Source organism: Homo sapiens, chromosome 17, assembly GCF_000001405.40.
Source record: "Homo sapiens chromosome 17, GRCh38.p14 Primary Assembly".
Lineage (NCBI taxonomy): Eukaryota > Metazoa > Chordata > Mammalia > Primates > Hominidae > Homo > Homo sapiens.
In genome coordinates this window covers 64,963,877-64,977,738 of record NC_000017.11, presented here as the reverse complement: position 1 = coordinate 64,977,738, position 13,862 = coordinate 64,963,877, and the positions used below count along the sequence as shown (strand labels likewise).

At 44.0% G+C, this 13,862-nt stretch overlaps 1 pseudogene across 1 annotated transcript, besides 6 other annotated features; it reads left to right on the top strand.

The window, feature by feature from the left end:
• Window positions 1,234-2,104: an enhancer, noted in NCBI's record as "H3K27ac hESC enhancer chr17:62971753-62972623 (GRCh37/hg19 assembly coordinates)". NCBI's record gives its function as "activates a minimal SCP1, AML or CMV promoter by ChIP-STARR-seq in naive H9 embryonic stem cells {active_cell/tissue: H9 hESC(naive)}" and the evidence as "EXISTENCE:reporter gene assay evidence [ECO:0000049][PMID:30033119]".
• Window positions 1,845-1,914: a silencer, noted in NCBI's record as "silent region_8857". NCBI's record gives its function as "represses an Ori minimal core promoter by ATAC-STARR-seq in GM12878 lymphoblastoid cells {active_cell/tissue: GM12878}" and the evidence as "EXISTENCE:reporter gene assay evidence [ECO:0000049][PMID:35858748]".
• AMZ2P1 (AMZ2 pseudogene 1) lies at window positions 2,154-11,189 on the top strand (annotated as a pseudogene). Its single transcript, NR_026903.1, has 5 exons — window positions 2,154-3,184; window positions 4,222-4,497; window positions 4,812-4,985; window positions 5,077-5,205; window positions 9,358-11,189. The product of NR_026903.1 is annotated as an AMZ2 pseudogene 1 (transcript).
• Window positions 2,285-2,484: a silencer, noted in NCBI's record as "silent region_8856". NCBI's record gives its function as "represses an Ori minimal core promoter by ATAC-STARR-seq in GM12878 lymphoblastoid cells {active_cell/tissue: GM12878}" and the evidence as "EXISTENCE:reporter gene assay evidence [ECO:0000049][PMID:35858748]".
• Window positions 3,034-3,328: a silencer, noted in NCBI's record as "tiled region #14154; HepG2 Repressive non-DNase unmatched - State 4:PromP". NCBI's record gives its function as "represses a minimal TATA promoter and a strong SV40 promoter by Sharpr-MPRA in HepG2 cells {active_cell/tissue: HepG2}" and the evidence as "EXISTENCE:reporter gene assay evidence [ECO:0000049][PMID:27701403]".
• Window positions 11,503-11,666: a silencer, noted in NCBI's record as "fragment chr17:62962191-62962354 (GRCh37/hg19 assembly coordinates)". NCBI's record gives its function as "represses an EF-1alpha promoter that drives an FKBP-Casp9 reporter gene in an ReSE screen in phorbol 12-myristate 13-acetate-treated (for megakaryocytic differentiation) K562 erythroleukemia cells {active_cell/tissue: K562(+PMA)}" and the evidence as "EXISTENCE:reporter gene assay evidence [ECO:0000049][PMID:32094911]".
• Window positions 11,886-11,935: an enhancer, noted in NCBI's record as "active region_12602". NCBI's record gives its function as "activates an Ori minimal core promoter by ATAC-STARR-seq in GM12878 lymphoblastoid cells {active_cell/tissue: GM12878}" and the evidence as "EXISTENCE:reporter gene assay evidence [ECO:0000049][PMID:35858748]".

The window sequence follows — 13,862 nt, the reverse complement described above, 5'->3', positions numbered from 1 at the left end:
AAAATCTAGTGAATACCTTTTATGCTTCAGACACCCCGTATGAGAGTCTTTACCCTCAAGCATCTCGCAGTTGAGTAAGGGTGACATGTAAGAAATAGGTTCCAATCATTGTGACAAGGACAACTGCAGTATTATTACGTACACACAAGGCAATGAACAGGCAGAAGAGAAGTTTTGTCATGAGGCAGGATGAGGCTATAGAAGAGGTGACAACTAAGCTAAAGAAGCCACTCAGGATGTCAGAAGACAGCCGTTCAGTCAAAAACAGGCACAGTATCCAAAGGAACTCATTTGATCCCTAAAATTCTGCTAAGATGTGCTGTAGGCGGGGCGCGGTGGCTCATGCCTGTAATCCCTGCACTTTCGGAGGCCGAGATAGATGGATCACCTGAGGTCAGGAGTTTGAGACCAGCCTGGCCAGCATGGTGAAACCCCGTCTCTACTAAAAATACAAAAATTAGCCGGGCGTGGTGGTGCGTGCCTGTAATCCCAGCTACTCGGGAGACTGAGGCACGAGAATCGCTTGAACCCAGGAGGCAGAGGTTGCAGTGAGCCAAGATCACGCCACTGCACTCCAGCATGGGTGACAGAGTGAGACTTCGTGTCAAATAATAACAATAAAAGATGTGCTGTAATTGTGTCCGTTTTACAAACTAGTGAAGAAATGAAAAAGAGGTCAAGTAACTGGCACAGGTCCCACGCTAGTGAGGGTTTTGGGATTCAAGCACAGACCACCTTCGCCCCTATGCTACACCACCTCAGGCTGTCGGGAGATAGGCGCCCAGTCAAAAGGCACATAGAAGAAAGCCTACGACTTCTCAAGCATTGAAGCAGGAGTGGCGCATCGGTATGCTCAACTTCAAACTTTGAGAACAGTCATGGTAGGAATGCATTTTATTCAAGAATGGGTTCAGGTGAGGGTGGATATGGGCACTGGGTTCAAAAGACAAATTTGGAGATTTCATGATCCAGAAGGGTGAACAAATAAGGATGGGCTGAGGAGATCCTCGAAGTTGAAAGGTTCAAACACACAGAGTTAATGTCCTCTAAGGAGAGCCAACAAGGGGTTACAAGTGCTGAAGTCATCAAGAAAATGTGCCTGTCTTTCCTGGAGACTGGGAAGGAGAATTAGGATGAGGAAAATCCAGAGGATGGTAAAATGACTTCAAAAGAACTGAGGCCGGACGCGGTGGCTCACGCCTGTAATTCCAGCACTTTGGGAGGGAAAGGCGGGCGGATCACCTGAGGTCAGGAGTTCGAGACCAGCCTGGCCAAAATGGTGAAACCCCGTCTCTATTAAAAATACAAAAATTAGCCGGACGTGATAGTGGGCACCTGTAGTCCCAGCTACTGGGTAGGGTGAGGCAGGAGAATCGCTTGAACCCAGGAGGCAAACGTTGCAGTGAGCCGAGATTGGGCCACTGCACTCTAGCCTGGGCGACAGAGAGACTCCGTCTTAAACAAACAAACAAAAAGCAATAAAAAGAAAGAGAATGGCGAGGCCCAGAGAGATTGAACGTCCCACCCGAGGCCACAGAACTAGCTCAGCCCTAATGCTGGCCCCGCGGTGCCTTTCCGACCTCACTGCCTCTCCTGGCATCCGGGTCTCGGCCTCGGAGCGCCAGGGACGCCACGAGGACACGCCCCACACTTGCGCGTCTGGGTTCCAGTCCCCGCCGCCCCCAACAAATAAAGAAGGGAAAGTCCTTTGGGTGACTGCCCCAGGGAGCGCCGCGGCTGTACGACAACCTGCGGCGGCCGCCGACTCATTTGGGGGCTACGCTGGTTGCATTCGTCACGCCGGGACGCCTCTCAAACCCGCGGCCTGCCGAGCACGTTCCCACACGGGCGACCCTGGTGACGCGGGCGCGTCTGTGGCTCTGGAGAACCAGGCCGCGGAGCCCCGGCGAGGGCAGACGGGGAACTGGCGACTGCGGGGGCGGACGGCTGGGGCTTGTAGTCCCCTCGTGACCCTCTACTCAGGAAAAGGCGAGCCGCGGCCGCCGAACTCCAGCTCTGGCGCGCTCAGGGGCGTGGCGCGGGCGGGTCGTGAGTGGGGCGGGGCCCAGAGAGCGTGTGCGATGGAGCGGCGCGTCGCGCGGCGCGAAGGGGCGTGGCGCCAGTGGGCGTGGCGTAGTGCGAAGAGACGCGGTGCGCACGCGCGTGAGGGATGTCGCGGGTGAGTGGTGTCGAGGCCTGTTGGGTCAGGGCGGTTCGCAGGTGCTGTCAGAGCTGGGCGGGGCAGCCGGGTCGTAGAGGCGGGCGCCAGTCGCGGTCGGTGGAGAGGGATGAGGATGTAGGAGGGACGGACGTGGCGGAAGCCGCGGGGACTGCGGGGGCGGAGTGCCTCTGGGGAGCCAGGGAGGCCTTTCCAGAGGCTCCTGGGGGAAGAAGAGGCGAAGCGAGAGTCCCCGGGGAAGCCCTACTCCACCCCCAGCCGGAGCCTGGGTTGTGCCTGCACGGACCAGAGCCCACAGTGCGAGTTGCTGTAGGCAACCAGCTAGGGTGGCCAACTTCTCCCGGTTGGCCCGAGATGTTCTGGTTTTGGGACCACAGCGTCCCAGGCCTCCAGCCCACCACAGTGACCATATTGTGCGCCCCCTGCCCATCTTCTCCCGCAGCTTCCCTAGATTAGGCTTGGGAGGCAAGGGGAGGCCTCCTGACTTTTCTCACTGCCTTCGTTAATATAAAGATGAAGGCACACTCCACAACTTCCTTCTGGCCAGGCCCAGACATGTCTGTCCTTGTGAGATAAAAGCTTCCATGGGAGCCTTCCTTCCTAATCAAGGTAGGTAGACCACTGGAAGGTACATCTGGTTTTATATTTTGTCCTGTAGAAGTCAGATTTCAGCCCAGTTGTGTAGGAGTGAGGATGAGCTTATGCTCTTATCAGAGCTTTGAGTACAGAGACATTTGATCTGGAATTTCAGCCAGCCTCTTCAACCCCAGAATTCAGAGGTTCAATCAGAACAGACATTAGCTTAAGTTTTCCCATCAGTTGTCTATCATTAAACTGGCAAAATCTAGATAATTAGAAAATATGACAGAGATGATCCAGACAGAGATGTTCAGGTTTTTCCTTGTGTAATTCAAAAAGTCTCGTGGTGGAACATCTGACCCTTTTCAAGAGGAAGGATGAAAACTCTACATAGGAACACGATGTGAATGGAAGAAACCTGTCATTGTGAGTCTGGCTTTTGATTAGTCATCTGATGTCTTCCCTAATGTGATGTGACTAAGCCGTAGCTTCTCAGCCTGCAGTTAAATTGCAGAAATGATAGGGCTTACATTAGTTTTGTTTTTATTTGATGTTGAAGATCTTTGAGTCACACTAGAAACGAGGAGTATTTTTCATGTGGCACTAATGAGTTAATTCATAATATGATTTTTTGAGACAAAGTCTCTGTTGCCCAGGCTGGAGTGCAGTGGCACGATCACAGCCCACTGCAGCCTCGACCTCCTGGGCTCAGATGATCCTCCCACCTTAGCCTCCCAAGTAGCTGGGACTACAAGTGCACACCACCATGCCCGGCTAATTTTTTTGTAGATATGGGGTTTTGCCATGATGCCCAGGCTGATCTCAAACTCCTAGGCTCAAGTAATCCTTCTGCCTTGGCTTCCCAAAGTGCTGGGATTATAAGCATGAGCCACCATGCCAGGCCAATATTATTCCCCAAAAGAAGGAAATTGGGTGTGAGGTCCTGCTCCTATGGTCACCATGAGATTTTTTTGTTTGTTTTGGACTCTTGCCCAGGCTGGAGTGCAGTGGCACGATCATGGCTCACTGCAACCTCAGCCTCCCTGGTAGCTAGGACCACAGGTGTGCACCACTATGCCCAGGGAATTTTTAAGTTTTTTGTAGAGACAGGGTCTCACCATGTTGCCCAAGCTGTTCTCAAACTCCTGGCCTCAAGCAGTCCTCCTATCCCAAAGTGCTGAAATTACAGGCATGAGCCACCACGCCTGGCCACCACTAGTTTTTGTAATGGGAGCAGGTTCCATATGAGATGGAGGAATGGATTTCATGATTGTCTTTGTAATTTCTTAGGTCCCCAAGAAATTGATTGGACATGAGGAAACCACTCTAAGTGTGACCACTCTAAAGCATTAGCAGTCAGTCATTTCACTCTAGGGAGAAATCAGAGCTGTATATGGAGAATAGGTAAAGTCCCCAATATGGATATGTATTTTTATATTTGACTGCTTGTATTTTTTTGTTAGATGCAAATAGTACGGTATTCCGAACAGACACTAAAAATAGCTGTCATCTCAAAGAATCCAGTGCTTGTGTCACAGTATGAGAAAGTAGATGCTGGGGAACAGCGTTTAATGAATGAAGCATTCCAGCCAGCCAGTGATCTCTTTGGACCTTGCATTCTCCATCAGATTGGATCACCTCCCACCCTGAGGCCCCCCAAGACTTTGAACAGTTCTTCAGTCATCCTTACAGAAAGATACCCTCTCCAGACAAACGCAGTATTTATATACGGTCCATTGGTAAATACTGGTAATGTGCTAGTTTTGGTTCGGTTTTGCAATGGTTCTGTTGTCAGGAATAGTCCGGGCTATTGGTCTGATTCAGATGGGCCATTTTAGGATCATTTTTGATATTCATTGCAATGGTACAAGTTTTGTAGCCAAACAGACCTAGAACATTTTTTTTTAATTCATATCAACACCGATGAATGTTAAAGGTGTATTGAAAATTTAGAGTTGGTTTTGTTTCTAATTTGAATCCTCTTACTCATAGACTGGGTAAACACTGAATAATCGTCTTAAAGTCTGTTTTTAAATGTTCTTCCATATTATAGGATCTCTATGAAGCACCAGAATTATCAGTGAAGAATATATTAAATGGCTCACGGGCTACTGTAAAGCATATTTCTATCGCTTGAGAGTAAAACTGCTAGAACCAGTTCCTGTTTCTACAACAAGGTGTTCCTTTAGAGTCAATGAGAACACACAAAACCTACAAATTCATGCAGGTGAATTACACAACTTTGCAATTTGAACTGAGTAAAGGAAGCATATGTATATAATATACACTCATACATTTATGTATTTCTTCTTAAATAGGGGACATCCTGAAGTTCTTGAAAAAGAAGAAACCTGAAGATGCCTTCTGTGTTGTGGGAATAACAATGATTGATCTTTACCCAAGAGACTTGTGGAATTTTGTCTTTGGACAGGCCTCTTTGACAGATGGTATTCCGTTTTTGGCATTGTTGTTAGAAGCTTCTTCAACTTGAGAATATTTGAAGATGTTAAAAGAGGGAAAAAAATTCCAACCAAGAATCATATTGATATTTAAAACTATAGTATTTTCAGTTGAGACATTATGCCATAATGGGAAGTGTGCTGTTGGTAGATTGTGATAATCTAGGTTCTGGTTGGCCACTCACTACCTACAGGACCTTAAAGGTAACAATACCCACATCATGGAGTCATTTGGAGATAATTTACATAAAAGTGCCTGTACATAAAAAGTGTGGATAAGCCTGGACAACATAGTGAGACTACATGTCTACAAAAAATAAAAATTAAAAAAACTAAATTAGCTGGGCATGGTGGCACACACCTGTAGTCCTAGCTATGCAGGAGGCTGAGGCGAGAGGATTGCTTGAGCCCAGGAGGTTGAGGCTGCAGTGAGCCGTGATCGCACCACTGTACTCCAGCCTGGGCAATAAATTGAGACCGTGTCTCAAAAAAAAAAAAGCATATATAGGCCTGGCACATATATAGGCATTCAGCATAACAGCTAGTAAACGTCAGTAATTCAGTAGCAAGGTGAATTAAGCCAATTACAGTTTGAGCTATCATTAATGGATGTGAAAATCTTGCTAATTGTTTTTCAATTCTTTTCATAGTCATCTTGCACAGTTAGGATAGCCATAGACTAAGTGTTGCTTCTTTCTCATCATACGACATTTGTTTTTTGTTTGTTTTTTAATTTAAAAAGTAAAAACTTCCATCTTTGATTTGAGATACATAGTAAACATTGACTCATTAGGAACTCTGCATGGTAATATTGGGGATGGGAAAGGTTCACGAAACAGGTTATATTTTTAACCTTTTTTTGTCATCTCTCTACTTCTCCCCTCCCCTTCATTTTTGCTCTTACTTCTCTAACTTCATCCCCAATAATCCAAGACAGACTTGAAAGGGAAAAGGCCCCCTAAGGGGAGTGGTTCATTAGTGTTCTGGGGATGGGGAGTAAGTACAGGGACTATCCTGAGAGTTTATGGTCTGTCTGGATGTTACATTAGCCTTAGGATTTGTGTGGGGTGGTAAGCTTTTTGGGACAAATGTTTCTACTAGAGGTGGGGGCTGTAGGGCTATAGAGCCTCTTCCCACTTACTCGTTTATTCTTTATTCTCCATTTATGTGAGGTTTACTTGTGGCCCCCCATGGCCCTACCAACATGCAGTCTTGGAGACGTGGGTCACTACTCTCTTACTGATTTTGGTGGTGTGAGGTAGCTTTTTATCATAAGTTTTCTCTCTTATTATTAACCTGATAGAGACGGAAACATTAAAAATTAATTTTATCTACCTTTCATTTTTCTTTTGATACAGGGTCTCCCTCTATCACCCAGGCTGATCATGGGTCACTGCAACCTCAGCCTCCTGGGCTGAAGGGATCCTCCTGCCTCGCCTCAGCCTCCTGAGTAGCTGGGACCACAGGACCACCACACCCAGCTATTTTATTTTATTTTTTTTGTCGAGATGGGATCTCCCTGTGTTGCTCAAGCTCATCTTGAATTCCTGGGCTCAAGCGAGCCTCCCACCTCAGCCTCCCAAAGTGCTTTGATAAAAGGTGTGAGTCACCACACCCAGCTAAAAAAATAATTTTCAAACCATATGTTCGTTTATCTAGATATTACTAGCTAACTTATCTTATGTATTTGAGGAGGTCAGGAAACATTTCCCCAAACTGTTTTTACTTTAATTCTTTTTTTTGTAAGTTTCTTAAATATTACATGACATGAAAGATTTACATAGGAAAGTGGCAGGATTAGACAGTGACAATATCTTAACACAGTGGTCTTGTTTTCTCCAAGTTTACAAAGATTCATATTTTTAAATTGAGAAGCATTGACTACGAAAGAAAATAATCTTCTATTTGTAGGATTATTGGAAGAAAGAAATGTCCTTGCTGAAAGTATTACTGTAGTGAAATATGCTCACACTTGATTGGCCAGAGGGGGTTACTTGTGATACATGAATAGATTTAGTGTTTTCTTAACTTCTAGAATGCTATTTTCCCTAATTTTCGAATATCAGTCCACATTTTCTGGGTAAAGGGAGGTGAGGAAGTTGTTTTTGAATCAAATTAGATTGAACAAACCTACCATGGGTTATTTTCTTTAAAAATTTATTACTTTAAAATAAAAACTGAACGAGAGACATAAATAAAAGTGATCATGTAAACAAGTCGAATTGTGAAGCAGTACCCTGTAGGGTGAGTTACGTAGCAAACCGTGTTCTCTGTGCTTGCAGAGATGGTTGATATAACTCTAAATGTAACACAGGAAGTCAGTTACAAGGGTATTTATTCTGGTCACCAGACACTAGTGACAGAATAGAGTTGAGCTGCTCTTTAAAAAGGGGGTGGGGGTGGGGAAGGGGACGAGGTTATTCTGTCTAAAGCCGTGGTTTAAAGCATGGGCTTCAAGACATCAGGGCAGTTGTCCTCAGTCAGTGCTGCGTGAGGGAAGGCCAGCAACCCCTCCAGGCACACGTGTAACAGATCTGTTTAGCGTGTCCTTAAAGAGTGAAATCATGACTGCCTATTGTTGATGTGATTTATTTTATTTTATTTGTTTATTTATTTATTTATTTATTGAGATGGAGTCTCGCTCTGTCGCCAGGCTGGAGTGCAATGGCGGGATCTCGGCTCACTGCAACTCCGCCTCCCGGGTTCAAGCCATTTTCCTGCCTCAACCTCCTGAGTAGCTGGGATTATAGGCGCCTACCATCATGCCTGGCAAATTTTTGTATTTTTGTAGAGACAGGATTTCACCATGTTAGCCAGGCTGGTCTTGAACTCCTGACCTCAGGTGATCCGCCCACCTTGGCCTCCCAAAGTGCTGGGATTGCAGGCATGAGCCACCATGCCTGACCCATGTGATTAGTTTTTGTGGTTCCTTTTTGAGTACTTGATTTGGAGTACTTGCTACTTTCAGAAAAAGACTTCTTTTGTGGGAAAAGACTCTGAAACTTCAGTTTCTCAAGTATTTGACCTCCAGCCCATTAAGTTTTACAAGACAAGGCATGGTGGATAGCAGCAAAGGATTTTGATAGGGAAATCTGGGGCTTCTTCCACTTGGAAGAAGCTGACCGGCGCCCTCTAAACCTTTGCCCTATCTGTTTGCACAAGTTGCAGTGTGCTGTTATTGGCTTCAGCATTGTAGAAAGATATAAAGTAAGTTGAGGGATGGATAGTGTAAAGAGGGGGAAGTGGTTATCTGAGTAGCAAACTGATGTATCTATTATATCCTTCTCTAGAGTTATAATTTATCAGAGGAAATTAGTGTAAAGATAAGCAGGAAGCTGTGGTTTAAAAACATGCGAAGAAATGCCCTTCTTAAAAACTTCAGCTTGCCTTAGAGTGATTTATGCTTACAGTTCAATGAGAAATAGTGGAAGAAATTTTCTGCTTCTCTTCCATTTAGGGCAAGAGAGCTTGACTTTGCAAAACTGAATAAATATTGATATGTGTGGCAAAGTTCATTTTTTAAACCCTATAAGTGTGAGGACAGGATTTATCTTTCCAAATATGGGACAGAGGTATGATGTTCATTAGGAGGAAAAAAGTGATTTTCTTTAAAAAGGAAGAAGGAAAGTACCTAATCTCAGTATGTGTGTGTGTGCCCACACTTGCCCACAAACATCAATATACATTCATGTGTTTACTCATGGGTATGACTGCATTCAGGTGACTGCACAGAAATGTCTACACATGTGTTTTCACATACATATGTCTACCCATGCCTGTGTGGACACTTATATATGTATATACATACATGTCAAATTAATATAATGCCTTGTAGAATATTCAGCAAGTTGAGAAAAAATATCCTATCATGCTAGAAACAAAGTATAAGAATGAGTGTATTTCTTTTTCATCTTTTTTCAGTGCGTACTTTTGACATCATTTGTAATTCTGTGTGTATTTGGTACGTGCCATTTCACTCAGTATATCATTAGCATTATTCATATTCACAGCATCATTATCAAATGCAGCGTCTTCATGGGGTAATATGTCACCCTATGATCTAGAAGCCAATGCTTCTCTCTTGCCTGATGGTATTTTGCTGTGGTTTGTTGAAGTGCGCATCTTTCAATGCTTTTCCAGGCACTGGTGAGGTGGATTGATGATGAATCTTCTGGCACACCTGGAGCAACTCCAGAACACAGTCGTGAGGATAATGGGAATTTACTGAAACCCGTGGAAGGAAGCCTTTAAGGAATGGAAAGAGTGGATAATAAAATGCCTGACTGTTCTCCAAAAATAAGGACCTTCAAATAGGAGTGATTGAAATAAATGACTACTTGCATGTTATGCTTTCATTTGGGTGGAATACTTCATCAGAATAAACTATTGATCTTGTGCTGTGTCAAAGTAACAGACTAGAACCTTCTTTCAAGTACCTGAATTGAAATGAAACTCATTTTGAATAATAAAAACTCTAGAAACTCTTTATCTTCTCATCTTACTGGCCTGGTCTGTGGCAGCAAGCACATTATTTCCATTCCCCAAATATGTTTAGGTCTCCCAAGAAAGCTGGGACTGGCGGTAATGAGCAAGTAAATAACTTGAAAAAGAACTGTAGATGCCCCAAGGAACCAACCAACATAATTTCCAGGGGGTGATTTTGTTTTTAGAAGAGCTGCTCCCCTCTGTTAGGGCCAGCCAAGTCACATTTTTGGACGTCCGTGGACTCTGATCACCACAGCCCTCCTCTTCCGTGAGCCTTCCTTACTCTCTCGAGTGCATTAGCTCATTTTTTTTCTTTTGCTGGTTGTCACCTTATTCCTGTTTTAGTTTTTAGCAGCTTAAAATACGACCTCTCAGGAATATTTGCAAGTGAAAATAACAATGGTCCTTACACTACCACAACATTTGGTGGTGGGAGTTCCGTTGCAGGTCTCAGCTATAACATAGTCATTTATGAGGGATCTTACAAATAGTGTGTAATGGTATTTATATTTGTGAGTGTTACACTTTCTCTATAGACTTAGAGCAGCTTTCAGGTTTATTTCAGTAATAATGTCTTTCTCACCTTCTCACATTGTGAAGTGTTTACCTGAGTCAGGGAGAGAGTTTAATGGGGTTATCTGTCGGGGTGCCATGAATGCTGATGATGGTCTGCAGGTTGTGAACATCAGCCCCATTGCTACAGGGGTGGACAGGTGGAAAAGCTCAGACTTGACAAACCACCTCTGCTAGATAGATGTGTCTTGGAAATCCAGAAATTACAGTGAATATTTTATGGAATGCCAGTGAGCAGACAGCATTTCCCACTTTCCTATCTTACCTTGAGGGTAAGACTTAAAGGTATTTTTTTTTCTTGTAATTTGAAGCCTAAATTCTTTGATTGTTTGATGTATGCAATATGATGTAAGGCACATTTTATACCCCTAGTCAGTGGTTTCCCTTGGATTCATTCTCCTACTTGATTGAACCCATTTAAGTCATTTTAGGAAATGGTGGTTTGCTATTAAAATTAATTGGAGAGAATACTTGGTCATTCTGTTAGCAAAAAGAGACTGATGGAGCATGGTGTTTTATGGATTCTGTTACAGGGCTTATTCCTCCTTGAATAATGTGCTTTAAAAATTATTGTCCATTCGATTACATTTTCTTTTATTTTCCTACAATGTAAGCACGGTTTTAGTCCTGTAGGTCAGCCTTTCTCACAAACTCTTTTGAACTAAGATTTGCCTAGGTGAATAAATTGGGGATGACGGTTGTCTGGAGAAGATATAAGGTCCATTTGTGAATACTCTGCACTATGAGACCAGGAGAAAAATCATCTAAGAAATCGTTCACTCTTGCTAAAAACTGAACTAAATTTTATATGATGCATTTATTCAGCAATCATAAGTGCTGTGCATAACTATTGTACATATTTTTGGACAATTTCTTAGGGTTCAGCTTAAAAATATAATTTGCCTACTGCAACTAAATTTTATGTACTGTGGTTAAATCTTTGTAGTTTTAGAAGATAATTTTCACTAAATAAATCCAAGCAGATTTTGCTCTGCAAATGCTGAATGAAGTATTGAACTAATAAAAAGGATTAATAATTTTCTACTGTCTAAATAATCTTAGAAATCAGTGAATTTGATTCATTTATGTCGTAGATCCTGATCCCGTTTACCTGTGGAGTTAATATCTCTCCAGTCAAGAGATTTTTCAGGCCTCAGACTTTTAATGGTGAGGGTTAAATAGAAGAATTTGGCGAGGATTACCCGTCGGTTCTTGTCCAGCTTGCTTTTTGAAGCACACATTCCCCTGATATGAATAATTTACATTTCAAGCCCTACGAGGGACAGAGGGCCGCGTTGCTCCCTCTAGGGAGCAGCAGTGCTAAAATCGAAGCAGGCAGCTGCGGGACCGCTATAGCCGGCCCTGCGCTCGGGCCCTTCCCGGGCAGGAAACGCGTCGCTGTCCCCGGCTGCGCCCAGGCCAGCGGGCACAGCAGCTGCGAACCGCCGGCGCACCACCTGTTTCCGCGCCCGGGGACTTCCCCGGCGGGGCTCAGAAGTGTGGGGTCGGTCGCTTGGCTTCCCCTGGCGTCGGCGACCCAGGGTAACCTCCTCCACTGCTGCGTGCCGTGCAGGCCTGCCTGTGTGAGAGCCACGTGTGCCGCGCTCTGGGCACAGCCTTGGAAAGTCAGGACCGCGACGGCAGCAGAGCAGTGAGTGGAATTAATTCTCAAGTAGAGCATTTAAAAAGTGCTTCATTGAAGAGTTTGAATCTCAGTCACTTTGTAGATTCGGATATCTAGAATGGCACCGTCCAATAGAAATATAATACAAGCCACCTATGTAAGCTTAATGTTTCTAGTAGTCGTATTAGCAAATGCATAAAGAAGCAGGTGGAGTTAATTTTAATAGTATATTCTATTTAATCCAGTGCATCCAAAATATTATTTCAATCAATATCAATGCTGAATATTTTATATCCTTTTTTTTTTTACCGTCTTCAAATTCCTGTATGTATGTTACACTTGCAGTACGTCTTACTTCCAACTGGCCACATTTTCAAGTGCTCAACAGCCCCATGTGGCTTGTGGCTACTGTATTGGACAGTGCAGCTCTAGAGCAGTACCCAACTCTAGTGTACCTGGAAAAATGTACCCGTGGTATTGAGTTACTAGGAGAGGAAGGCTTATTTCAGGAAAAGGTCATGTAAATCTTCTGTCAGTACAGCCGGTGCTGACATTCAAGCTGAAAGGGTGTATGTAGACACCGTTTAATGTCTACATTAAAGGCCTCTGGCTTCGGTGTTAACTTGTTTCTTTAAAAGCTTGATACTGTTCTCTGTTGCAGCTTGTTTTTTACCCTCCCGTCTTCATTTTCAAGGGCCTGGTATTGTCTTCAAATGCATTTCCATTTTTGGAAAGCGGAGTCGTAAAGCATTAATAATGTGGAGATTGTTTAGTCCATTTCATGCATGAGGACACAAGCCTGCAGCAGCCGAGTAAACTTGCGTGTCATGTAACCAATGGCAAAAATGGGATCAGATCCCAATTCTCCCTAATGCTGAGTTATTCGTTATTTTCACTGTGCTACATGACCTCATTGAAGTAAAATATCACCGGCGAGAACCTAACCATTTTTCCCCCAGGTTGTTTACAAGGGATTATACACGATTAAACTTTCAATTTCTTTTCTGTTCAAGTAGAGCCATCTGGGGTTGCTCAAAGTTGGAGAAATCAGTCTATGTACAGTTCTGCCTTAGTACCAAAAAAAGAGAGGTGCGATATTTATTTATTTATGAAATAGGGTCTCGCTCTGTTGCCCAGGCTGGAGTGCAGTGGCATGATCACGGCTCACTGGAGCCTCCACCTCCCATAGTCAAGTGGTCCTCCCACCTCAGCCTCCCAAGTAGCTGGGATTACAGGTGTGCACCACCATGCCCGGTGTATTTTTTTTATTTTTAATTTTTAGAGATGGGATTTTTTCCACATTGTCCAGGCTGGTCTGGAACTCCTGAGCTCAAGCAATCTGCCTGCCTTGGTCTCCCAAAGTGCTGGGATTACTGACGTGAGCCACCGTGCCCCGCCAAGAGTTGCAATATTTAGTAAAGCTCTTGCGACTAGTTGAGGCATTAAAAGAAAGCATTATGAAAAAAAATGTCTACTGGAAAATAGTTAAAACAAAATCTATTGGGGCAATATGTTCAAACTCACAGACTGCCATACTTAACCCAGTATTGATTTCATCCCACTGTTTTCTTTAGTGTCTGCTCATGGATCAGTTTTTTCTTCTTTACAACTGACCCACCCATGTAGTACACTACTGCTGGGCAGTCTGAGATCCATCCATCCTCAGATGCTGAACCGGTGGGTTCTCGGCACAGTGCTTTCAGTGTCCTGTGGTTATCCAGCTGTTTCATAGCAGCAAAGACTCTCTTGAGCTGTAACTGTCAATAGATATCTTTTTCTTCTCTTGTGTAACTAAAGGGGAAAAAAGTCTATAACTCATTCATTCATGTATTTTTCATTCAACAATATTCATGGAGCACCACCTACTGGGTGCCAGGCCCTGCTCAAAGCCTTGGGAATACAGCAGTGAACAAAGAACTCCTACCCTAATACACTAGTGGATGAGACAGAGAGTCAAGGAGTA